The sequence below is a fragment of the Homo sapiens genome, chromosome 3, assembly GCF_000001405.40.
Source record: "Homo sapiens chromosome 3, GRCh38.p14 Primary Assembly".
NCBI classification, from domain to species: domain Eukaryota; kingdom Metazoa; phylum Chordata; class Mammalia; order Primates; family Hominidae; genus Homo; species Homo sapiens.
This window is the reverse complement of record NC_000003.12, coordinates 34,237,380-34,263,368: the sequence shown is the minus strand read 5'-3', so window position 1 is coordinate 34,263,368 and position 25,989 is coordinate 34,237,380. Positions and strand designations below refer to the sequence as shown.

Sequence of the window (25,989 nt, the reverse complement as noted above, 5' to 3'; positions counted from 1 at the left end):
CCAATATAAAGTGACTTAGATTTTGATTCCAGAAGAAGTTTTAAAAATATCAGGCAGTGCTGTTTCTATATATAAAAAGTCTGTCGTTAAGGAAACATGTCTCAAATAAAGCTCCTTTTAACAAAATAAAAGTCCTCTGCATTCACCAGCAACATTTCATAAAAAGAGAAGGAAACAAGCTGTGAGAAAGATGATAGCTCTGGGGGAAAAATAAAATGTGCATAACCTTTGTACCCAGATTAGCATGCCACTGCCACATTTCTAGAATCACCAAGCAAGTTTTTCCCTCCTTCTACCAGGCTCAAAATCAGAATTTCTTGTTTGCATCATAAAAAAGTGGGGATTAGCCTTTGAAAATGACATTTTCCTTATTTTATGTATTATAGGCACCTGGTAAATGGTCTTCACTAGCTGTCAGGGTCTTCTGGAATATGGATGTGTATATCTGTGTCTCTGTGTGTGTGTTTGTCTGCATCTGTGTGTCTGTGTGTGTGTGCCAAAGAATGGTTCTTTGACTACTCATAGAACGAGAAATATGGCAGTCCTCTCTCTCTCTGAGAAAATGATTTCTCTACCCCAGGACTAAGATGACCCTGGTTCCTTCCTTTTACACCCTGGGATGCCTATTGGTACCTGCAAGGATGTAGCAGAATAGCACTGGGCTTGGAATCAAAAGATCTGGATTTCAGGCTGTGTTTGCCGGTGGACAAATCACTCAGCCTTCTCATCCCTGCTTTGGGAAAATTTTACTTGTCTTGATCTCACAAGGAAGTCGTGAGGACACCATGAAGGTATAACTGTGTGCTTTGTAAACTCCAAAGCAGGATGCAAGTGTGTTATTTTTATTGCTGGATAAATTGTGTTTTACTGTCTCAAACACTTTTACCCTGAAGGGTTCTCATCCCCTGTGACAATTTGAGGAAACCTTCCCTGGGTGTCCCTAGGCATCATTAGCCATAGGATAACACGTATGGAAAATGTGCCAGGCACTATGCTGAGTGCTATGTTCATTTACCTCATTTACTTAAAACAGCCCCGAGATAGGTCTTGTGATCTCATCTTTCAGAGAGGAAACAGACTCAAGAAGGCTGGGTAACTGTTCCCAGGGTCACGTAGGCAGTAGGCAGATGAGAGAATAGTGATTCTTATTTCTGTGATTCCACAGCTGGTGCTGTCCCCATGAGGCATCATGGTCTGTGCTCATTGTCACCACTTTGTAAGGTACTTTCCTGAGGGCTTGTCTGCCTTCCCATGGCTCTTGCCTGGTTATTCTTAACCTTTGAAGGCTGAATCAACATATGTGCTCAATTAATTGTATTATCTCATTCAATGTGTGAGGAAGAGTGGATTTGTGGGCTGCCACAATGAGTCACTTTTCATTGCCATTTTCCACACTCTAGAATGCCCATAATGTGATGCAGAATTGTTTTCCCAATGCAGTCAAAATTCTCAAGTGTGTGTGTGTGTGTGTGTGTGTGTGTGTGTGTGTGTGTGTGCACGTGCGCATGCGCGCGCACGCGCTATCAGACTGATTGCTATGTTCATCAAGGTCATTGATTCTCTCATCTATCCAACAATTGACGTAAGATTCTAAAGAAGCACCCCTTTGTTCTAGAAATACAATTTTATAAGTCTGAAAAAGCCAGCATTTGCATGGTGTTAAACTTAAAAATCTCTGTAATCAATGCTAATTTGACATGATGAAATGCAGCACTTTCCATCTCAAAGCTCTTTGCAAAAATTAATTACCAATTAATCTAAAACTTTAGAGCATTATTTATTATCTGTACACTCAGAACTTGAAAATATTTACATTTCAAAGCATGACATGTAAAACTATTCTATTATGTTTTAAAGTGGAAAAAAAAGTTCAAATTCTCAGAAAAGGACAAATCACAAGTACATCAGTGAAATCAAACTACCAGATTATTCTGAGAACTGTTAATATCTCCCTGGAAAATGCTATACAAATATCCAGTTGGAATCTTGCTGAAGGCATTTCTCTGAAGTAATAATGCTAATCAGTCTAGAGCAGTGAACTCTGACATGAGACAGTGAGCTGCTCTGCCCTTCCTTTCAGAATCCAAGGGGTTTTATTCATAGCTACTCCCTGAAATAGTGCTTGGTGGAAAGGAGGCAAATTGGATTGTCTCAACAGATAAATGAATCATTACATCAGAATGAGGGGGCGGTAGGGCAGGAGGAAAAAGAGAAATGGAAGGATGGGAGGGAAGGAGCAAGGAAAGGGAAGAAAAGAAAGAAGTAAGAAAAGAAGGGAGAAAAGGAGGAAAGAAAAGGAGGAAGAAGGGAAGAAGGGGGGACAAAGGGAGAGAAGGAAGGCAGGAAGGAGGGAAGGCAGGAAGGCAGGTTGCATAGAGTTGGTTTGAGATTAAAGGTACAATGCTTAATACTCTTAAAAGCAGGGACCATTTCTGCAGAAGAAATATGAACTGCAAAGACTTACTAGGTCTTAACTTTCATTTTAAGATATTAAAAGTAAACTCTTTTCCAAGACAACAAAATAAGTCTGTGGACTTCTGCCTCATCCAAAACAAGCCTCTCTTTAGCCCCACCTGGTGGCCCTTCTCCCTTCAAACTGTAAGTTAGGCTATGAGCTATAAAAATTTGCAGAAAATCCATGTACAACAACCCTAGGCTTGAGGCACACAATTACCTGGGAAGATTTTTCTAGAAACTGATCAGAGAGCATATTTGTCCACAATTCAGCTATCTCTCTGTTGCTCCCTCCATTCCTCCCTCACCACCTCCCTGTGCTACAAATTGTGGTTACAATTTATTTCGAAGCTGACAACAGAGCTAAAAGCCCAGATGACACCCCTAACACCTCCTTATGGGAAGGTGGTGCAGTCTGAGCAGGCATGAATTCATAGCACAGTGGGAACAAGTCTGTCATACCCAGGCTGTGAAAAATCCTCTGAATTTCCACAACGGAGGGAAGCAAACTGGCTGAACAGAGGCATAAAATGGACTTTGAAAGAAGAAGGTGCATCCTAGCTCTGAGATGGAGTACTGGGACAGCTTTCAGGGAGGATGTGTCTTAGCAATAGTAGCTCATGTGTTATTAGGGGCTTTCTTAGGTAGACATATTGATTGATTAATATTTACCCACAGGATCTGTACTGCAGTTAGGAGAAAGAATGGAGAAATTCACAGAGTTTCAAAGGTGCCATTCCTTCCGGAAACATCAATACCTTAAACTGTGTAACCCTGGACCTCTAGAGGGTCCCAGGTCTCGGAGGACAAGGTGAGGGTATGACTGCTGGCTATAAAAAGCTTGCCAGCTTCACCATGAACTTCCACACTGTTGCCCAGCCTCTATGTCCCTGGCCAGCTGACCCTGCAGGCCTGCTTCTCTTTGTACTAAAGCTCTGTCAGCAACACTTCTGTGCAGAGGGAGCTGGCACAGCAGCGAGCTGACAAATATCATTTTAAATTAAATAGTATATTTTAAAATGTGTTTCACATGTTAAAGGCACAGATGGTGAGGTGTCCATGCCTTAGGAGACAGCTGTGCTGAGGAGAAAACAGGTGTGGATTGCGGTTCATCCTCACACCAGCTTCCTGGCATGGTTTCCTCTGAGCAGCCAAGCTACCTGATCCACCTCCAGGCCCTTGGGCTGGGGATCTTGCTGGCAAAGATCTAGCCCACCTGGACCATACCAGAGGAGTTTCTGGTCTTGAGCTGGGGTTACTTCCAACTAAAAATACGATGCAAAACCATTTTACAACACCAAGGATACAGCTTTGTTCTTACTTATCTTTTTTGTGATGCTTGATATTATTGTTTAGGATCATTTTTGTTGTTGTGAATTTTTTTATTGCTTTGGTTAGTTTTGCAAGAAGGATACAAGTGAAAAAAGAGCAGGAGCAATGTGATATATATTCAGCTGATCAAATGTCCAGATTTTTCAGAGATCCCCAGCCTTTGGGGATCACTGAAGCCAAGTTCCCCTCCTTACGTAATCCCCATATTAACCTAAAGTGGCGACTCTCAAAGTGAAGGTCCCTGGATCTATGGCATTAGATGTTGGAAATGCAAATTCTCAGGCCCCATCCCAGACCTACTGAATCAGAAGAAACTCAGGAGTGGGGCCCACCCATCTGTGTTCTAACAAATCCTCCAGGTGATTTTGATTCTCTTCAAGACTGAGAACCACTGGCCTATGCTATCTACTGCAGGTTTGTTCACAGGGAGACAGGGAGATAATGTCCTGGCCTGGCCTATTCCAACACCCTGAGTTTAAAGGGATCTATTTCCTATAGTGAAACTAACTTACTGATTCAGTTCCTTTGTCTCTTGGGAGCTCCTTGGCATATTTGCATCCCTGGAACTCTGGTTCATGGCTGGGTCTGTATTTCTGCATTTGTAGGGGGAGGGCCAGATCTGAAATTGTGATGAGGGTACCAAGGTAATGCCATCTTCTAACTCAGTCCTAAATGCCTTCTTCCCAACTTATCCCACAGCAGGTTCTGTGCTCATAGAGAACAATGAGTCAGGTTTGGCCCATGGCTCAGTGGGAGTTCACAGTACAGTGGCGGAGACAACCTTGGAAACAGACTCTTGTAATGCAAACTGATTAGTGCTGTAGAGAGGCCTGAGCCAAGTGCCTGGGCACATAAAATAGCCCTAGGGAATACAAGAACACAATTCTCCCTTAATTTCTCCAGCCCTGGCAGAGACCCAGCATCCCAGACAGGCAAAAGGTATAGAAAATAAATATCTTCCTACATAATATTGTTCTCTGTTTCTTCTTTGTGAAAAGGACAGCTACAATGCCTAGTGTGGGGCATGCCACCTGGACCCCGGGAAGCAGTTAAGCAAAGGAGGCAAAGCAGCCTCCTTAGCTATCCCAGCAGTGCAATCTAGCTCTCTCTGAAGCTCCAGGGGGTACATTTGCAAGGAAAGGGAAAGCTTATCTATTCCTTTTTTACCCTTAAGAAGCAACAGTTGAAACCAAATTTCTAGAATTCTATGACAAAAGTCACCTCAGCCTGAGGTCTTACCACTCTCCTTTTGGCATGTTTCTTAAAATTCATCACCACTACTGTATAGTAATGACAAAGCCAGGATCCCTACCCATGCTAACCTCAGCAGAGGGGCCCATCGCCACCACTCTGACCTCTGCCAAAGGCCAGGGAGCTTTTTCTATCATCCACATTGACTCACCTGAAAGTGTCCAACACCCAGAATTCCACAGGACTCTGCCTGGGAGCTCTGGGTCTGTGACTCTGGAGGACTTCTATCTTCCCCGTTCGGGTTCCACCATTTATGAGCAAGGGCCTTCACTTCTCTGAGCCTCCCTGTATCTGCACTGAAAATGGAGCAGTCCATTCCTGCCAACCTAAGGGCAATGTGGTAAGGATATAATGAGACATCTATAGTATGGAGCCTGGCCCTGGTGTGGTTTGGTAAATGATAGTATTAGGAAAGCAATTTACAATGAGGATGTTGGTCTAGAGACTCTCTAACCAATTTAAAAGATTACATGGGATCATGGCACTGTGTCCTCTGTCTGGCAGTGCAAATTCTCTGTTCTCTGCCTGATGATCACCTGAGACACACTGCTTCATGACCATAAGAAGCTCCAACTCAGGGCAAAAACAAACAAACAAACAACTAGAACTAAGGAATGGTGAGCCAAAACGGCAATAAGTCCAAAGTGTAGAAGAAGAAACCAGCTCTGACTGTGGCATGGGGAAGTTATCTACTTCACTGATTTCATCTCACCATCAGTGAACAAGAGCACAGGCTGCACTTCGTCTTGCGCTGGCTGAGCAGAGGGTGGAATCTAGCTGCCCAGCCTCATTCTGACCACCAAGGCTCTTTAGCATGTCCAGTGCCTACAAAATAGTAGTATAGAGGACTACGAGGGGCCAAGAGGGGACTAGAGTTGCTGTGGCATCAACTTCTGGGCATGAAACCCCATCACAATCGCTGACCCCTTTACAATGGCTAAACCAAGACTGACTAAAGCTTCATAGTCACCAAAGAGACAGTGTCATGTTGCTGGGGCCCAGCTGGAGGTACCAACCCAGTGCTGGAGAGAGACCTTATTCCTGGAAGCCTAGAGAATCAGACTGTGTAGGAAAGAAACCATAGACTCCACAGTCACCCAGGGAACTCTCCTGGAAAGTTACGAGAGAAAGCAGGAGAAAACAATGCACTAAGGACTCTCCTATGCTGAACAATACTGTCCAATTAGTACTATTACTATCCCTAGTTTACACCTGAGGGAGCTGAGGCTGAGAAAGGTCAGGCAATTGCCCAAAGCAACATAGCTGGCAAGCGACAGAGGCAGAGCCCAGTGTCCTAAGTTTCCATAGAGACCACCAAACTATCCCCTTTCCTGCTGCACTCAGCAGAGTCAGTAGAAAGGTCGTGATCCCATGCCCTTTTAAAGGAAAGCAGCCCCTAGGAATACTCTGGTGCCTGGATGGGTGAGAATGTGCTTGAAAGATGGATTAAGAAGCCAGGACACTTTGGGCTTAAAACTCAGCTCTGCCACTTACATTCCTCATTTCTTTCTATCCTGGGTCTGCCAAAATGTAAGAAAAGTTTTCACATTTTTTTACCAGTTTTTCTCACCCATGACCACCCTGTCTCAAAATGATTATGCAACAGCCCAGAGTCCCCCATTCCAAAATTCTTTGCAAAGAGCAAGATTTCCCTCGCTATTTCTGAATTCATCCACACCTCTATTTCTCTCTCTTTCTCTAATTCTCCCTTCTCCCTACTTCTTTTTTTTCTCCCCTTCCTCCCTCAGTGGTTTTCTTTATTCTTCTTGCCACCATCTTCATCATCTCTACCCCCATTAGCTCCCTTTCCTCTGCTTCTCTCTTTTGCCACTCTCTCCCCGCATTTCCTCTCCCTTACTCCCTCCCCGTGTTCACTCATAAGACCAAGAGCTAAAATAAAAAGTCAAAACAACCCACAGTGTCTCAAATGACCTGGAGTGCCTCATCCTTACACATAAGCCCTCACCATAAACCTGGACCTGGTTCCTTACAGCTGCCCAATTAAAGCACCAAGGGAGGTTTTGTCTGGAGATGGTTTTATAGTGTTTGCTAAAGGGGGTAGTTGTGTTTTGTCTCCATGCCAAAATGAAGCAAACCTTTTTGGAACAGGAAGTCCAAAATAAAAATCCCAGCCAGCCCCTCTTAGTATTGTTCTGCATGCCAGCAACTTGATGCTTTTTCAGTGTGGGAGGAGAGAAACTACAAATGCCACCCTCCATACTGGCGCAGGCTTCCTCCTGGCCAGCGTACTCAGCAAGGTAAGGGCAGCTTTGAACAGGAGACAGCAAAACAATAGGAAAACTAGGCTTGGAGCCTTCGACCCAGACACAGAGGCTAAAAATGACTTCTACCCACACAGGTAGTGTTATTCAGCATAAAGGGGACGGGAGGGAGCTGAAGGCTTTGTAAAGAGATGGCTTAGAAAAGGGGGAGGAGTGAGCTAGGGAAAATTTTTATCTATTTCTGAAGCCCACAGCCTTAGGAGCCACCTAGGCAAAAAAAAAAAAAAAAAGAAAAGAAAAGAAAAAAAAGAGAGAGAAAGAGAGATGTTCTTAGCATTTGCAATTTCATTTCAGAAAACAGAATTAAATCCCAGGTCTGGCAGAGAATAAGATTAGCTAGTCCCACCCCTTATCTTTTCAGATAAGGTGACTGAGGTCCAACAACTGCAGGTTCAATGCCCAGGTCACCTCTACTGAAAGAAGAGGAGAATAGCACACTTCAAATCAGCCCTCAGCCTTCTACAACCTCCCACATCTGCTTTGTAAACAGATGAGCAATATCGCCTGGTCCTTGGAATTTTCATCAAAAGGGACTTGAAACTCAGCCCCATAGATGTTTGGGGCCCCAAGTAGCAGTAGCAGTCCATGCCACTAAGGGCAGAGCACACATATGCATGCTTTGAAGAATCTGAATTCTCTTTCATAAACTTGGCAAGAGGATAAGGATATCTGTCCCTCCATTTCATTGCATCATTTACCTCCAAATATTATACTCTCAGACTATGTTCTCTAATTCTCATCCTCATATGGGTAGCTGCTGGGAGATTTTTTCCCCCCAATATTTTATTAACTTCCATCTCCACCATTTCCTGGTGTCTTGGGTTTCCTCTGAGCGGAAGCACAGGTTGAAACAAGGTTTCTGGTGCACACAATATACTATGGGAGAACTCTCAGGGAAAGGGAGGAGGGAGTAGGATAAGGCAAAGGAAGGAGCTAAGCAAAGCTATGGTCTCAGAGTCTAGACTTGACTCAATCCACAGAGGGCTCTGAAGATAAATTACAATGCAAAGTATTCGTCACCTTTAGGTGCAACCTTTGTGCCCCCATAGGAGTTCATTATTGACTGTAGGCTTGCCCAGAGCAGGGCATGTGCAACGTCCAGGACCAAGCATCTGAGGACAGTTCTCTGGAGAATGGATGCATCTGTGAGCCTTCAGCAGCCCACACTTGCAGCAGCTGGGGGATGGGTACTTCAGCATAATAAATGGTACTGAACAAGGTACCAAGCACATCCACTACAGCTACCAGACTGGACTTAGAAATCTTCATATGGTTTTTAATGCATCCTCCCTCACAATACCTTCTCCTGGACCCCTAAGTCAAGCAGGATCAGAAGTGACAGGGTGCTATTCCTTTCTGTCTACTACCCAATGCCAGACCCAGTAGGTCTTGTCTTTACCTCTAGGGCCCACTTCCTAGTGTAGATTTCATCAACTCTTACCTGGACAGCTCATCAGCTTCTTCACGAGGCTCTCTGCTTCTAGTCTCAACATCTCTAACCCATTCTCCTGCCAGCTACCAGAGAAAACTGGGTAATTAAATGTAAACTTCCTGCATTAAACCTTTCAATGGCATCCCATTGTCCTCAGAATAAAGCCCAAATTCCTTAACATAGCAAACAAGATTCCCCAAGGCTTGGCCCTTGCCTACCACTCTGGCCAAATCACATGCTTCACCCCCTCATACTTTATTCTCCAGCTTACTTGCTTTTTTTTTTCTTTTTCATCCCTTCTTTCTTTTCTACCGTTTTACATCTCTGTGCCTTTACACAGTGCTTTCACTACCTGGAATACTTTTTTTTTTTTTTTTTTTTTTTAAAGGAGTTTTGCTCTTGCTGCCCACGCTGGTGCAATGGTGCAATCTCAGTTCACCACAACCTCCACTTCCTGGGTTCAAGCAATTCTCCTGCCTCAGCCTCCTGAGTACCTGGAATTACAGGCATGCACCACCAGGCCTGGCTAATTTTGTATTTTTAGTAGAGACCGGGTTCCTCCATGTTAGTCAGTCTGGTCTCAAACTCCCGACCTCAGGTGATCTGCCCACCTCAGCCTCCCAAAGTGCTGGGATTACAGGCGTGAGCCACCGTGCCTGGCCTGGAATACTCTTATCCCCATATCTACCTGATTATCACGTGTTCATTTTTCTAGATTGAGTTTAAAGGTTTCCTCTTGACTTGAAAATGGCTAAGAGAGTAGATTTTTAAGAGTTCTCACCATACACACAAAAAAGACAAGTATGTGAGGTAATGCATATGTTAATTAGCTTAATTTATCCATTCCACAATATATACATATATCAAAGCCTCAAGTTGTATACTATACATATATACAACTTTTATTTGTCAATAAAAAATAAATGCCTGATGCCTTTTCGGACCTCACAGCTATCACTTCACCTTGTACGAGTCTCTACATTACAATTTCCACATTTTGTAGAAGTTTCATTTTTTAAGTTAGTATCTCCCACTGGATCATGAGTTTTCTAAGGGTTTGACCCATGCCTTATCTATATTAATATCCCCATCTACTTTAATGCCTAACCTATAGTAGGCAACCACGGATCTTCCTTGAAAAAATGGACAACTCTATTCAAGGACCTGAGTGTTATTTCATCACCAATCCTAAAGAGTTAGGAAATAAGTTTCCCAGGTGGTTAGCATCCCTTTCAAAGATACTTAACGACTGAGCAGTTTTCTTATTTCATACTAATCATGCTGTCTATAAGCATTTCTATCTCTAAGTCATTGCTTAAATGGCCCAAGGCCTTGAAACATTATTTTTTCCCCTCTATGACATTATTGGGTCATAGTCTAACCATTATCCTACCAGAAGGGTCTTCTACCAAATATTATATTGGCAATTTTATTTTCCTTCATTAGACAGAGAAAATTCAAGTTGTACCACAAGCTTGGTACAAAAAGCAAATCTCTTTTTAATCACTGGAATAATGTCTGTTTGAATGGTAAGTGCAGAGTGAGTAGTCTTGGTTTTTCCATAAGAAGGAGAACCACCAAGCTGTTTTCTCTTGGTAGTTTGTGGTAAATATTATCGGTGTTCCCCAAAACCCACTTTTCCTCCACTTCCTGAGGACCTGAAAGATCATGCTTCACAGGCCCTTCTAGTTTTCTGGGCCATATGACTAGATCTGGCCAGTGAAAGGAAAGCAGAGATGAAGCGCGTCATTTCAGAGCTGAAGCGCGTCACTTCAGAGCTGAAGCAGAAGGCCTGTGTAAAACTGTTACTCCTCTCTATTCTCCTGCTCCAACAATCCTGGAGGAGGCCTCTTGTTGAAAACAGTCTGATATTCTCAGTGGCTGCCAGCAGGACAGCTGCCCTAGGGAATCACCTGGACCTGCTGAAGACTTTGCAAGGAAGGTAAGTAAAGTTCTTTTGTATTAAGTCACTGAGACTTTGGGATTGTTTGTTCCCGTAGCCTGTCCCTTCCTGACAAACAAGAGATTTGAAAAAAAAAAAACCACCCCATTACCTGTGTAGACAAGGGTAACTTTGAGTCATAAAGAGGTTGACCCCAGCAGTGGTCTTGATCCAGTGCTCCCAAGCTGACTGTGTCCTGATGAATATATCTGTGTATAAGATAAAGAAGCCCAATCCAGAGAGTCACAGATTTGGGCACCTAAGGCTGTTTTACATTCTTACTCAAGCTTGGCATAGAAGAAGTGAGGTTTTTTTTTTGTTTTTTGTTTTTGTTTTTTTACGTGAAGGATCATTGGTATCTCTGCTGAAAGCTGAACTAGCCAAAACTCACAGCAGGAGTGACCAGTCATCTACTGGAGTAGGCAGGATGAGTATGAGTAGTGTAAGCCAACTCACATCAACATTCTTGAGTTTACATGAGGACAGCCAAGCTTCCCCAATATAAAGCTATGCTCCTTATTTTGTTTCAATCCTCGAAAGACTAAAAAATCCAAATCATTTCCATCTTTGGCGGGCTGACAACAACTGTCTTCACCATGTTCCTGCTGACCCCTTGCACATTGTTGTCAGGCCTTTGAAGGTCCTGGAATGAACCAGACTCCAAAGTCCACCAAAGGGCGGCCCAGGCTCTAAAGAATTACAGGAGAAAAGCTAGTCTTCAAGGGGTCAGAAAGTCCCAGATCATGCCCTGCCTCTCCACAATGTGGGAGAATAATAGCTCTTAGTCCGTTCAGGAGTAGATTAACTCTGGAACCTGTGATTTAGTCAAAAAAACATTTACTGAATGCCTATTGTGATGTAGATAGTATTCTCGATATTGAGAATTTAGCATTGACCAAAGACATAATCCCTGACATCATGAAACTTATTTTCTAGGGTTGGGGAGACACATAAAATAAACAGATGAACAAATTGTGCATATCAGTTAATGTCAGATTGTGCCAAGTGTCATAAAGACCGTAAAAAGATGGTGTCAAAAACAGGTAGTTGAGTTAGGTATGACTGCTTGGATTGAGTGGTCAGGAAAGGCCTCTCAGAGTAACTTTGGAACTGAGCCTAAATTACAATAGTAATAGCTAACATTGATTGAGGCCTTTCTTTGTGCCAAGAAATGTTCAAAGCATTTTACATGTATGGATATTCTTAATCCTCTCAACAACTCCATGAAATTAGTACTATAATCTCCGTTTTACTGATGAAGAAACTGAGGCAGAGAAGGGCTTGGTTTGTAACCTAACCTCACACAGCTAGGAAAAGGGGGAGGCAGCCTTCTAACCCAAGCAGCCAGGCTCCAGCATCTGCTCTTAACTATTATACTACACTGTCTCTTAACAAACGCCATAAAAAATAGAAGTATGTTCTGGCCAGGCATGGTGGTTCCCAGCACTTTGGGAGGTTGAGGTGGGCAGATCACCTGAGCTCAGGAGTTCAAGACCAGCCAGGGCAACATGGCAAAACCCTGTCTCTACAAAAAATTAGCCAGGCGTGGTGGTGTGCACCTGTGGGTCCCAGCTACTTGGGAGGCTGAGGTGGGAGGATCACTTGAGCTCAGGAGGTCAAGTGTGCAGTAAGCCAAGATTGTGCCACTGCACTTTAGCTGGGTGACAGAGGGAGATCCTGTCTCAAATACATATATATATATATAAACATATATTATATATATATATATAAACATATATTATATATATATATAAACATATATTATATATAAACATATATTATATATATATATAAACATATATTATATATATATATAAACATATATTATATATATATATAAACATATATTATATATATATATATAAACATATATTATATATATATATATAAACATATATATATATATATATATATAAACATATATTATATATATATATTTATATATATATATATATATATATATATATATATATATATATATATGTCCATGTTGGTCAGACTGGTCTCAAACTCCCGATCTCAGGTGATCTGCCTGCCTCGGCCTTCCAAAGTTCTGGGATTACAGGCGTGAGTCACCGCACCCAGCCTGGAATATATATATATTCTGAGATTTCAGTAAAAACTCCAGGGCCAAGGTTAGAGCAAGTAAAAACTTCCTGTTTGCAAAGCAGACTTCTGGCCCCCAATAGTCTCTACTGGGACTACTCAGTTATTTCTAATTCTGATCTAACCCAAAACAACTGCTAAAATCAGGATAATTTCCAAGTCTGCTCCCTATGACGCCCAATAACCTCCAACAAAATATTGCACAAAGAAGATGTTGCATATTTTACATGATCTTGATATCAGGCCCAACATAATTGCTCTCTGAAATATTAAAACTCTGCTATGGCTCCCACAACCATCCGGGACCTTATAAAATCTAATTTCATCTAGGCAAAGCTTCTTGCAAGATAAACACAAGCCTATTCAAGGAAGTCTTAATTCAATGGTATTCAAAATATGCCAGCAGCTGATCAAGACAGACCTACAGGTCTGATAGAGGCTTGATGTTTTGAGCCATGTCCATTCAATAGATAATTTATTAAGTAATCCTCAGTGTGCAAAAACTGTGCTGAACAAAGTGGAGGTACACAAATTAGAATATTAATGATAATATTTAGGATCTCTACTTTAAATATTACAACTGTAGCAACTTTTGGTGCCGTTCTTGGCATAGTACTTTTCCCCAAATTCTAAAGAGGTGATAGAATTTTGGAGCTGGAAAATGAAGGAAAGGCTGGCATATGCCCTGAATCTCTGATCAGGGAAAAAGCTCAAGACTATTAAAGTGTTCAGCAATAGTGAAAAAGTATTTTTCTCTCCATTTTGGCAAAACACAATCATTTCAAGGACTGACAGGATATAAAATGCAAAGTAAAAGGAAAACTACAATAAAGTTTATGCCCCATTATCCAAATGCAGGGCTGTAGGAGGGCTGAAAGCAAGGCTTCCTCCTCTGCAGGCTGAGGCCTAGCCAAGTGCTGGACACCACAGGTGTGCCTGGGAATACACAGGTGAGAAGAATAAAACACTATCACCGGGACATGATAAAAGTTCCAGTACAGGCTAGGCATCTGTTGGGGATGTGGGTGGAGATTTCGAGTGACTTCTCAGTCTCAAAGCAGGTGGGCCATATCCAGAAAGCAGGCCAAATGTGAAAGTAGGTCATATCAATGAGAGTCCAGATTCTTTTGACCTGTGGTTCTCAAACTCACATCTGCATCAGAATCACATGCAGGGCTTGTTCAAACACAGATTTCTCTCCATCCCCAAAGTTTTTGACTAAGTCGGTCTGGTGAAGCCTAAGAATTTGGATCTTTAATATATCCCAGATGATGCCAATGCTCCTGGTTCAGGAACCACACTTTGAGAGCCACTACTTAGTGAAACATGATGGGAAGGCAGAGGAAAGGGGATTTTCAGAGGTACATCAACTTTTGGAGTCAGAGAGAAGCAGCGGGGAGCAAAGAACTGGGAGCTCCATCCTTGATGAGTTGTCCAGAACGGCCTCTGCATGGGACTTCCCACCAAAGGCACCTCTCTCTTGGGGAAGGAAGGAAGTAGTGCTTAGAGTATAGGCTGTGTGCAGGCACTATTGCCAAGGACCTCCATAAGAGTCATTTTACTTAATCCTACAACAACCCTATGAGCTGAGTATCATGTTCCCATTCCAGATGTGGAAAATAAAGCCCTGAGAGGTAGACAGATAAATCAGAATTCAAATACAGAAAGACAGGCTCTTTTCTGCAGCACATTTAGCATTCAGGCACTGTCTTTTGTGACATTTCAAACAGATACATTAATAAACTACTAAGGAATATTACCAAGGTAGTCACCATGCTTAGTAAACAAGGCCCTATCTGGTAGGCAGGCTTGTTTGTTCAGAGATTTAGGAGGCTGCTGATGTCTTGAGGACTATCAAAATGTTGCTTTACTGGGTCCCTGAGAGGCTGCTGTCAAAAAACCTAAGGATGGAGACACCCAAAAATCTTCAGCTCACCCATGAAGACGCTGCCACCACAATCACCACCACATTCACCTTTACTTTCATTTTCAGTGTCACCTCCAGGACCACTACAGGGTGCACCATCCATTAAAGCTAATAAGTAACAACTGGCAGCTGTTACTTCTACAACACTAAACCAACACATACACACACACACACACACACACACACACACACACCCCTCACATAATAAAGCCCTGGCCTAAGTTTTTGTGACACAGCCCCACCCCCCACCCCCTGCTTTCTATCTATTTATGAACCCCGGGAAAGTTCCACTCAAGCGACTCCTCCCCTGACCACTGCAGGATGATAAATGATGTGGTCCATTTGAGTACCTATAACCCATTTTCTTCCTTTCAAGCTGTTCAAATATGTACTGCCTTACAAGTTTGCTTAAAGCCAAACACTGTGTGTGGCAGAAGATACATTATTGAGTGAAATGACCAAGACACACCACAAATTCTCCATGGGACAAGGGGAGATAGGCTCCAGAGACCATTGGGGTTCCATTGAGCTCCCCTCTCTTCTCTTGTCCCTGATACACCATTTTCAGGGGCCTTGGCCCCACCTGTGGAGTGCAACAAAGACAAGAAGCCCTGAGGATGGAATTCTGATGCTGAAGAGGTTTCTGGAATCCCATTTCAATTAGAAACATTTCGCAGTTTTCCTAAAACTGGAAGCTGTCACTGAGAATTATCCATACCCTTGTGTTCTTTGAGCAATCTAAGCTTGTGGTAAGTATTCCTCTAATCATGATTGGCAGGACCCCAGGTAGCAGGAAAATCCTGAGACTGGCTCTGTTATAATGACCCAAATGAGGTGGCATCATAAGTGGGCAAAGGAGGAAAGGCCAGGATTTTGGGGAGTGTTTATATCTCACTCCACCCTTTTCCAAGGATATATATGAACATATTTTGACCCATTGTCTTTTGTTAAACAAATATGTCATAACTTTTAGAAGGCAAATTGACAGTGAGAATCTAAAATCTTAAAAATGTTTATAGCTTGGAATCCAGTAATTCCACTCCTGGGAATTTAGCCTGAAGAAATAATTATAGTGCATGAAAAAGCTTTATGTACAAAGGTATGTATCATAACAATGAATCAGTTGAAACAAAATATATGTCCAACCCCTGTAAAAAGTAAAAGTCTGATACTCCGAGTTTTCAGTTGATCTTTGTTGGGAAGGAATCCCTGAACCTGTATATCTAAAATACAAATATGGAAATCAAGGCACATCTATGCTTTGAAGTGTATAGCCAGTAAAAATGTTTCAAAGTGTAATAACATATAACATGCTTAACTTTATATATGTTGAGAAGCAGGTCATTTTCCTGGAATGTTTAGAAGCTGCCATATTCTCAAACAGTAATTATTTTGAAATCTCCTAGTGTGAATCTCAGAAAAAATGGTAGAAACTGTATATAAAGCTATGAAGGCAGCTGTGCATAAAGATAATAGATCGAAAACATCTGATTTTTCTTCTTTTCAAAAACTCTATTAAAGCTATAGTGGGTTTTTTTAAAAACATAATTCCACTAGGATAAAAAGAACAGGGTAGAAGATAACAAAATGTTGAAAATTGCAAAGCTAGTGGAAGATGGACAAGGGGCAATTGATCTTACAAACTAGAAATCTGAATTTTAAAATCGCAGTAGAGAATCCAAGGCCAACCGAAGTAAGACAGCAGAATCCTCAAAAAGCTTAGGTACTGTGAGCGGCAAGAACAGGTTGAGAATCCCTAATCCAAAATTTCAAATGCCCCAAAATCCAAAACTCTTTAAGCACTGACTCCAGGTTAACCTGGACACATTATTTTTTTCACTATATTAATGGTGTGTCATACTTTTATTGTTAATTATTTCTGTGTGAATAAATATAAGAAAATAATTCCTGATAAGCAGCACACAAATATAGAGTCAGGAGTGATGGCGATGCCAGACAAACACAGATTATCCCCATGAGTGGCTGACATGACACCTTCCTTTTCTGATCCTTCAATTTATACAAACTTTGTTTCATGCACAAAATTATTTAAAATAGTGTATACAATTACCTTTGGGCTATGTGTATAAGGTGTATATGAAACATAAATGAATTTTGTGTTTAGACTTGAGTCCCATCCCCAATATATCTCATTATGTAATATGCAAATATTCCAAAATCTGAAAAATTCCAAAATCAACACTTCTGGTCCCAGTGATTTTGGATAAGGGATACTCAACATGTATCTCTGGAAATGAGGCGAGAGAAAGAGGAGCCAAATTTAAAAGGATGGATGAAAACTATTCAAGAAGCAGGTAGATCTCCAGGTCCCGTCCTCATTCCACACTGCAGAATGACTTCCCACCTGGAAAGTCTAGAAGTTTCTTTCTGAGAAGCTTAGGCAGAAAGTCCCTGGCCTGGCACAGATAAGGGTGAGGAGTCATCCAAAAGCAGTGGAGTTAGATAAAGCTAAACATGCTGAATGCAGAGGCTAGCCCCCTCCCTTCTCTCAGCTCTCAGCCATGCCTTTACCCTTGGCCCAGCCAGGGAGGCAGGACCTGAAGATACTGACATTAGGGGTTCCACACTCAGACTACCCTACAGTGATGCTTGCCACCGTCCAGCCAACTCATTTGCTCGAGGTTTCCAAGATTTTAGTCCACATACCTTATACATGAGTACAAACCAAGGATCACCAGCCTTCTAAAGAAGCAATCCCTAACACAAAAGTATGAGAATCAAAACAAATTTTCTTAAAAAAGCAACTCAGAGCAAGCAAAATCTCTGCAAGAATGAAAACTTCCAGGAGATATGCATTGTACATCACCTCAAAGAAATAAAATGCATCTATAAAACAAGAACAGGATACTAAAGAAAAGGAACATCTGAGAACAAACAAGAGATCATATACATAAAAGCACACAAGCAAAAATTTAAAACACCACTGAAGAGTTGAAATATAAAGTTGAGCAAACATCCCCCAAAATAGATCAAAAGTAGAAGAGAAAGAAAAATAGAAAGAAAATATAGGAAAATGAGAGAATGAGTCCAGGAAAACCAATAACCAAATGGAAAGGAGAAAGGGAGGGAGAAAAAAACAATGAAGAAAGGAGAGAGAAGAAGAAAGAAAAAAAATTAGATAAAGAATTATTAATAGAATTATTTAAGAAAAAATTCCATAAACAAGGGATATCATTTTCCAAATTTTAAGGGACTACCAAGTGCCCTGCATTTCACTGTGAAAGTTCAGAAGACCCAACAGAGAGAAGGTTTTATGGGCTGCCAGAGAGAAGGCAAAAACAAGTCACATGCAAAGGATCAGGAATAAGGATGGCTTTAAATTTCCCAACAGTATAATGGAAGCAGGAAAACCACAGATCAATGCCTTCAAAATTCAGAGGGAAAGTTATTTCAAATTTCTAGTTCCAACCACATTTTCAATCAAATAGGAAGGTAGAATGAAGACTTTTTCCCCTTGGGAAAAAAAAAATGGCCACAAATGACCAGTGGTTGCTTGCTGGCATAGACAGCTTATTTGAGCCCTTAATTTCAGTAGGCTTTGCAAAGCTTGTAAAGGGATTGCCTGAACCATAAAAAAAGGGCACCACAAAAAGAGATGAAAAATCCAGAAACATAAAAGAGGAGCAGCAAACAGCAAACTCGGCAGAGTTCATCGTTTTCCCCAGGACTTCCTTGCTTTTTTTAACCCATGATTCTGGTTTGGGCCTTACTCTAAATTCCAGAAGCTTAATAAATACACCCTTCCTATTTGATATAGAGGTCACAGTCCATACACACCTACATTCTATTTATGTCACAGTCCATACACACCACAGTCCATAGAAGCCCAACATTCTATTGTTATAAACATTATAATCCGCTCTAGCCAGTTTAGGCATAAACTATTTTATCAAAAGATACCATGTAGACACAGATGTAGAGCAATCAGAACATTCATTCAAATCTATCGTACAGTTTCTATCTAGCAAGGCATGACCTAATGTTTCAGGTTGTGTTCTCCAGAAGCAGATGCTGAAATGGAGTTTGGTATACAAGATATTCATTAAATGTCACACTGTGGAAGGCGAGGGTTGTGGGGCATAAAGGACTGAGCTGAGGGAGAAGGTGGGATATGGTACAGACGCAAGAAAGCCTTGGCCAGCCCCACAGTTGCTCTGGAGTAACTGTGGTGTGCTGCAGTTGTTCCCCCACTACATTGGCCTGTAAAGGCTAGGTCTTAATAACCCCACCTCAGTCAGTCACTGATGTGGTCTACCCCAGAGAGGGCATTCCCTCAGGTGAGGCAGCTCGCTGCAGCTAAGGCAGACTCCGAAGGACCTGAAAGCTGGGGCAACAAGTCCTTCCTTGAAGGGGATTCTGGATGGTTCCTGTCTGTGTTCACCACACCTAGAAATTCTACCCCTACCAATAAACCCAACAGAAATGTGTATGTGCATTTTCTAAAAGAAATGTACGCAATGTTCAGAGCAGCACTATCAACAGTCACTCCAAGTCAACTACCAGATGCCCATCAACACTAGAACAGATAAATAATTTGTGATATACCCATACAGTGGAGTGCTATACAGCAATGAGAACAAATTAGAACTATGTGCAACCATATGGATGAATCTTACAAAGATCATTAAGCAAAAGGAGCCAGGCCAGAAAGAACATATATGGTTCCCTTTATATATAGTTCAAAAACAGTCAAAACCAATCTAGGCTGTTAGATGGTGGAATAGTGATTCCCCTTGCACAGGTAGTGACCAGAATGAAACACAACTCAAGGGCCTCCTGGGTTTCCCTTTCTTAATCTGGACACTGGTTACACAGTGTGTTCTCTTTGAGAAAAATCATTGAGCGGCACATTTATGATAGCTGAAACTATCTCTAAATATCAGTAAAAAATTTTAAACATTAAGTGGCTCACAAAAATATAAGATACTAAGTTCACAAAATCTCTGGTGGTGAAGGGGCCAGGAACAAAGTGACCAGCGCTATTGCAGTGGGTGAAAATATCCAAGCAGACCACAGAATCGTTTAATGAAAACCTGTCTACAGCTGAGTGCTCCTCCACACCCAGGACAGTGGAGACTGGATACCAGTTTCTCCGCCAAACCTGGCCCAAAAGAATCGGCAGCCTCTGCCACAGGTTTTACCGGATCAAATCTGCCTGGCATGACTAGTGCCTCACATTGTTCTTATCTGCCTCCAAGCTCACTGCAGGCCCAACAGCCTGGCTGAATTCCAGTCACGTGAAAATCGTAGAGGAAAGGGAGTTGGGAAAACGTAGTTTTTAGTCTTCAAAAGCCGGGAAATGGGTGCTGATGAGCTAGTCTACATTACTAGCTACAAATAGTGCCTTTACTACAATGATAATATCATATCTTTTGAACTAGACCCCACGTGTAATAATAATTTTTTAATCTCTATTGCCTGTATATCACCAGGCAAAATTCAACTTCAAATTCCATCTCTCTCATAGAAAATATAATTGACTTTCAGCAAAATCAATCATGGACATGAAAGATTTCTGAGTACACTTAAAATTCCCAGGAAGTTTTCTCTGATTTCTACCTAAGAAAATTAGCACCCATTGGTAAAATAGGGATAGGCTTTTCTGACTCCTCATACTTTTTCCCACTGCCTTTGCATTTCCTCCACATTGAAGAGTCCCAGAAAATGCAAAAGTATTCCTAGCTGAAAGGCAATATATCACTTCCTGCAAATTTGGAGGACTTAGGTGATATGACTGTGAAATACAAGTGCTGTATAGATGGAGTATCAGATGTTTACTTCAACAGGTGGCAAATGATCCTTGTAGAATCAGTAAATCTAGGAGAAGTGGAGTTTGGCTATGGCAGAGAACAACCAGTAACTGGAAGTTCATGACAGACTTCAGCTGCTTTCTTTCCCAGCCCTGCTCAGCCCAAAGACACCCAACCTGGTCCTGCCTAAATCGTAGCCCATCTGTACAAGGCCATAAGGTGCATGAGCAGCCCCAGCCACACCATTCAGTGGGGATCTGGATTTAATCACATTGCCAAAGGCCTAAAATCTGATGAGCCAGGGCCAAGCCAAGGATATTCAAATCATCACAGAGCCATATTTTCCTCTGCCTGTGCCATTCTTGTCCTAAAGACAGGCATGGATGTCTGATTCCATTTGGCCACTCCTGCTAGAGCCCCAACTGCTTTGGCTTAGCTACATCCCAGCCCCTGCCCACCCTCAGCTACTTTCCAGGGTTTTCTCGTAACTGCTGGTTAGTGATACCATATTAGTTCCTAGCCACATCTTAAATATCATCTGCTTGTTATTGTGTCTTGCTGACAAACTGAATCAGCCAGGCCAATGCCACTGCTTTGAAAACACACTGAGATCCAGTCCTTTAGCCTGATCAGACAAACCTGTGATTTGTCTTCCTTCTTTTTCCCCATGAACCCATGAAACAGAGGTCTCAGCAGTCATCTTGAGCACTCCACTTGACTATGACAATAGAGTCATTCAGCCTCTCAATGACCTTGCAGGGTCACATCTGACAGGAATGGATGAGATATGGAGTTAGCACATGACAGACCTTCATGTAGGTTCTTTCCTCATGTTGAATAGCAGTAGCAGTAATAGCTCCTATTTATACATAGTTCTGTGTAAGGCATTGGGCTATACGCATCACAGAAATCAATCCACCCATCCTCACGGCAACCCTTGCTTGGTCAATATGATTACCTCCATTTTATAGATGAAGAAACATGATCAGAGAGGCCAAATCACACGCACAAAGTCACACAGGAAGTTGGAAGCATTTTTGTGAAAACAACAATATCCTGCACCCTATGTTCACATCCCTTGGATGAATATATAACATCCCAGGAGATATGTATTCTATAGGAAGTTGACAGGATTTCCACACTAAGGCCTGCAAAGTCACTGGGTTAGGGGTGCTCCCCAGGAAGAAGGCTCATTTCTCCCCATACCCATTTCCTAAGAAATAGATGGGTCCTCACATAGGAAATAGAAACCCCAGAGACAAGCTAGAGAAAAACAGAGGCTTTCATTCTCTAGCCGTTTTCTCTTGGACCTAGATTGGATCATTCAGTAGGGTGTGGATGAAACAGGCTGGCTTCTTCACCACTGCTCTACATGGGAGCACTGCCTTCCTTCCCACCCCATTGTGCCTTTTTGCCTACAACAATCTCCATTTCATCCACCTATGGAAAATTACTTCTTTTGAGAAGCCTGATCTTCCATCTCCCTTGGCCCAGTAAGAATTAATCATTTTTTTTCTTTGTGCTCTCTCAACACAATGCTGTATTATAAGCAAGTGTTTACAAAGAGGTAGTATCATATTGTGGGAAAAGCTTTGAAACAGGAGTTCTATGACCTGGATTCTGGGGCTGTCATTTACTAGCTCTGTGATCTTAAACAAGGCTCTTGTCCTCATCTGTAAAATGCAGATAACACTGCTTCATCTACTTTGCAAACAGGGCTAAATGAGATGTTTGTGAAAGTGCTTGTAAATTCTCAAGCCTAGTGCCTGGGTTGGTGATTTTTCTTTTTGTTTGGGTTTTGTTTTGGTTTAGTCTGACTTTTGCTTCTTCCCCTAGACTGTGAGGGTGGAGACTTGTCTTAAGGAAATTTGTATTCCGCTTGGAGCCCACAGAGAGCCTGCCTGCTATAGTGCTCAATGGGAGTGGGTTCTCAATAAATGTTTATTGAAATTAAAATAATACAACTGTGAAAGATGGAATCTCTCATTCTCCATACGGATTTAATCACCACACCTCTCTCTTTCCCTCCCTGCATGTGTATGTGTGCCATTCTTGATACCATCCTTTTTTCTGAGCTGTGGCATCCCAGCCCTGCAGAGAAATTCTGAGGCTGATTGACAGAGCCACACAATGACTGTGAAAAGAAGTCTTTTCTCCAGATTCACACTGCCAGCAGGATTTTTTTTTTAATTTGAACCCACTGCCACCAGCCCTGCACCTTTCAAATTGGGGCAGACCCATCTTGGTGTGCAGGCTCTGGAGAGCAGCACAAGCAAGACCTGATGGAGATTGATACCCTAGCTAGATGGGTCAGCTCAAAGCCAGACTCCAGGAGCCTCAGCAGAGCCTACACACATGGCTTCTGTGCCTAAGAGGGGACAGAGTTCACAAAGACTCAGTCATTCTTTTCCCATGCTCTCTTTGGAGTGATTTGGAGAAATAGCTGGCACTGTGCAACACGGAATGGGGCCCTTCCAATTCAGGACCACATCACAAAGTACAATAACTCCAAAGTCAGCAGATGTATAAGTGGGTAATCTGCAAGATACAATACACAATTTTCAGTGTGGATGACTTCAGGACATTGACAATAATTCTTCTCCCTCCCACTGATACAAATTCATGGTGAGGCAAAAAAAAAAAAAAAAAAAAAAAGGAGTTACTGAGACAGACCTGGATTCTAGTATGAGCTCCATATACATGTTCTTAAGTGAGCTGTTTAAGCTCTCTCCTCTTCCTTCTCATTTCATAACTACCTTCCATAAACTAAGTAATTACTGCACTAAACACTACAATAGACTGGAACAAGACACAGTTCTAAGGTGAAACTGCCTCAGCCTAGTGAATGACTCTGTGTATAAGTGTCTAGCTACACATGTAGCAGTGCTCATGCTATAATAGGTTTGTTTTCTTTCTGTTCATCCCTGTCTCCTTTATCATAATCCCAAGCAGTTATCTGATACTTTGCTATTAAATCTTTATTTTTTAATTTAGGAGTTCAAACTTTTCATCATTCATACTCATTTTTAATCTTCCTCATGAATCACATCTCTGGTGGGTTTTTGAATAACAGATGTTTGAGATTTATAAATTATTCTTTAGCACATGTTAACTCAAATCATCATGCCGGGTTGATAGAATTAAAGTTCAAACCAAGAAACTTGATTTATCTGCTAAATGGCTGTTTCATGAGTAAGTGTTTTTTAAACTTAAAAACAGCTTAAGGATCCCCTTTACTATCTACACAAAATCTTGGGGTCCAAGTTCCCTAGGCTGGAAACCATCACCATCTGTGGCTCTGTTTCCTGGTAATATACATTCATCCCTATAAAAAGCATTCCTTCCTCATATTCGTTGCCTACACCTTGGTGTAAATCGGTTTATGATTCTCACCTTCATAAGGCAACAAGGGTCATACCAGGTTAGGAGTGGGTGGTTAGAGCTCTCGGAGCAGGCAATGGGACAAATAAGCGGCAGTGTAACCCTAGTTAGCAAATTTTAGAGATATTGCCTATGGCCAGCTCTAAGAACTTACTGAAAAGTTTCAGATATTGCTACTTAGATGAGCTGTTTATGCTTATCCAAAAGGTAACCACGATCATACTTACCACTCTAAGGTACTGCCCAATACAAAAAATCCTTCAAGAGAAAAGCTTACACGTACACAACAGAAAATGTGTATGGACCTGTACTTATTCATATATATTTCTAAGGCTTATCAGAGTGCATATAATGTTAAGATTGAGAGTCTTTCTGCCTAAAACATCATTACCTCATTATGCCACCAATGGAATGACAAACACAGATAGGCATTAGATGAAGTTTCCTTGAATGTTAATGGTCTGGAGAACATAATTTGAAGAGAAGTAAGAAAAGATGTGCAGAGCCCCCTGATGACTTCAACTTCTTCCAAGATGATTTTATTTAGAGACTTATTTCCCAAGTCATACTCCAGTACAGATTAACCTCTCCAATGAAAGTTCTAGAGTTCCGTCCATCCCCCAGGCAGGTAAGAAAGTTAGGGTTTGTTGTTAACCATGGAGTTGATTTCCCCATCTTTAATGCTTTTACAATGTCTTCTGGTTGGGACAATCAGAAAGCCTTGGTCAGGTACCCATATGTGCCAATTTGCCCCTGGTTGTCTCTGCTTCTGCCCAGTAGGAAAAAGTGGTAAAACTAATCCTTTTTCAAGGACAATATGACCAACTCCAGGTAACTGTACAGTCCAGTTATAACTAATGAGAAGGTCAAGTGAAATTGCAAGACGACAATAGGAGAGAGATAAAAGAAACTTTCATTTTCATTTCTGTTGAAAAAATACAAATAATCTGTATCTATCAGACTTCTTTCTTTGTTCTCCTTTATTCAAACAATAACTGAGAAAGGGGTGTAGAGATTGGGCTGGGACACAGCATATTCTTATTATTTTTAACTTTATTTTCATTGGGGGCATTTTCAGTGAAACTACATTCTACTAATCTTTTTTTCTAATTTCTTTTCTCTTATGAAAAGTTTTCTTTTATATTTAAGCCAAAATGTTTGTGAAGGTCCTTTTAAATTCAAATAAAATGAAGTCTGGCATTTTTGGTGCAGAGAGCAATTCCAGACCCAGTAGGGGAGTGCTTATAACTGAACAAAAATTCTTCTTTCACACAAAATGTGAGCTCCCTGCCTGGGGTTCACACATTAATGACTGTATGACTCATTATTATATATGCCTCCAAAGCTGAGGTTCTCTCCTCTGCTAACCCGCTCTGTACAACAGATGTTGAAATGTTAACTGAGGGACAGCAGATGTGGTTGGAGTTGTTTTTCTCAAGGTCTTTTCTCCATCACTCTTCCAAGCCCTTGTGATACAGCCAACACCAAGTTACAAGGTTACCCAGAGGCTTTAACTGATACCTGGCACAAACTCCACTGTCATTAACAAAATCACAATTCTTCCCAGAGGTGCCTCTTTCACCTTCTTCTGTCTTAGGGAGTAGCTGATAGTAGGTTTCCAAATGTCAGATGGCTTATAACTTCTGGTTCTGTCTCTGATTTTCTTCTATGAGCACTATGTGTTTCCCAGGGGCTGAACAACCATGGGATTTAGATGAAAACTTCAATTTGGAAGAGTAGAGTTGGAAAAGCATAGACTTGCTGGATGAAAAGACCTAGTTTCAAATCCCAGTTAAATCTTTAAAAGATGTTTGATGGTAGGCAAGTCACTGAAAAATCCCTCAACATCAGTTTTCACATTATGAAGTAGAAGGAAATTTATTTTGTAGAAGTGTTGGGGAAAGTGGGAGACATGAACAATTGGTGGAAAAGGCTTGGCATAGTAACTACACACAAGCAAGGAACTCCATACTTTGCATAGTAACCGCATGCTTTGGATAAACTGATATTTTGGCTACAATTTTTGGCTCTCCACCCCCGCCCACCCCCAATTCCATACTCTTTGTCATGTGATTTTGCAGTACTTTCCACCTGAGACAGAATAGAAATCT

General features: G+C 41.6%; 1 long non-coding RNA gene across 21 annotated transcripts in view, besides 1 other annotated feature; it reads right to left on the bottom strand.

Moving 5' to 3' along the window:
• LINC01811 (long intergenic non-protein coding RNA 1811) overlaps positions 1–25,989 on the bottom strand; it is a 276,733-nt gene that overhangs the window by 172,728 nt on the left and 78,016 nt on the right. The window contains exon 3 of one of the 21 annotated variants that reach the window (NR_183697.1): positions 5,189–5,363. The exons of the other annotated variants lie outside the window; for them this stretch is intronic. This is a non-coding gene — a long non-coding RNA (long intergenic non-protein coding RNA 1811). The remainder of the gene's footprint in view (positions 1–5,188; positions 5,364–25,989) is intronic. 21 annotated transcript variants of the gene reach the window in all.
• Positions 14,656–14,705: an enhancer, noted in NCBI's record as "active region_19656". NCBI's record gives its function as "activates an Ori minimal core promoter by ATAC-STARR-seq in GM12878 lymphoblastoid cells {active_cell/tissue: GM12878}" and the evidence as "EXISTENCE:reporter gene assay evidence [ECO:0000049][PMID:35858748]".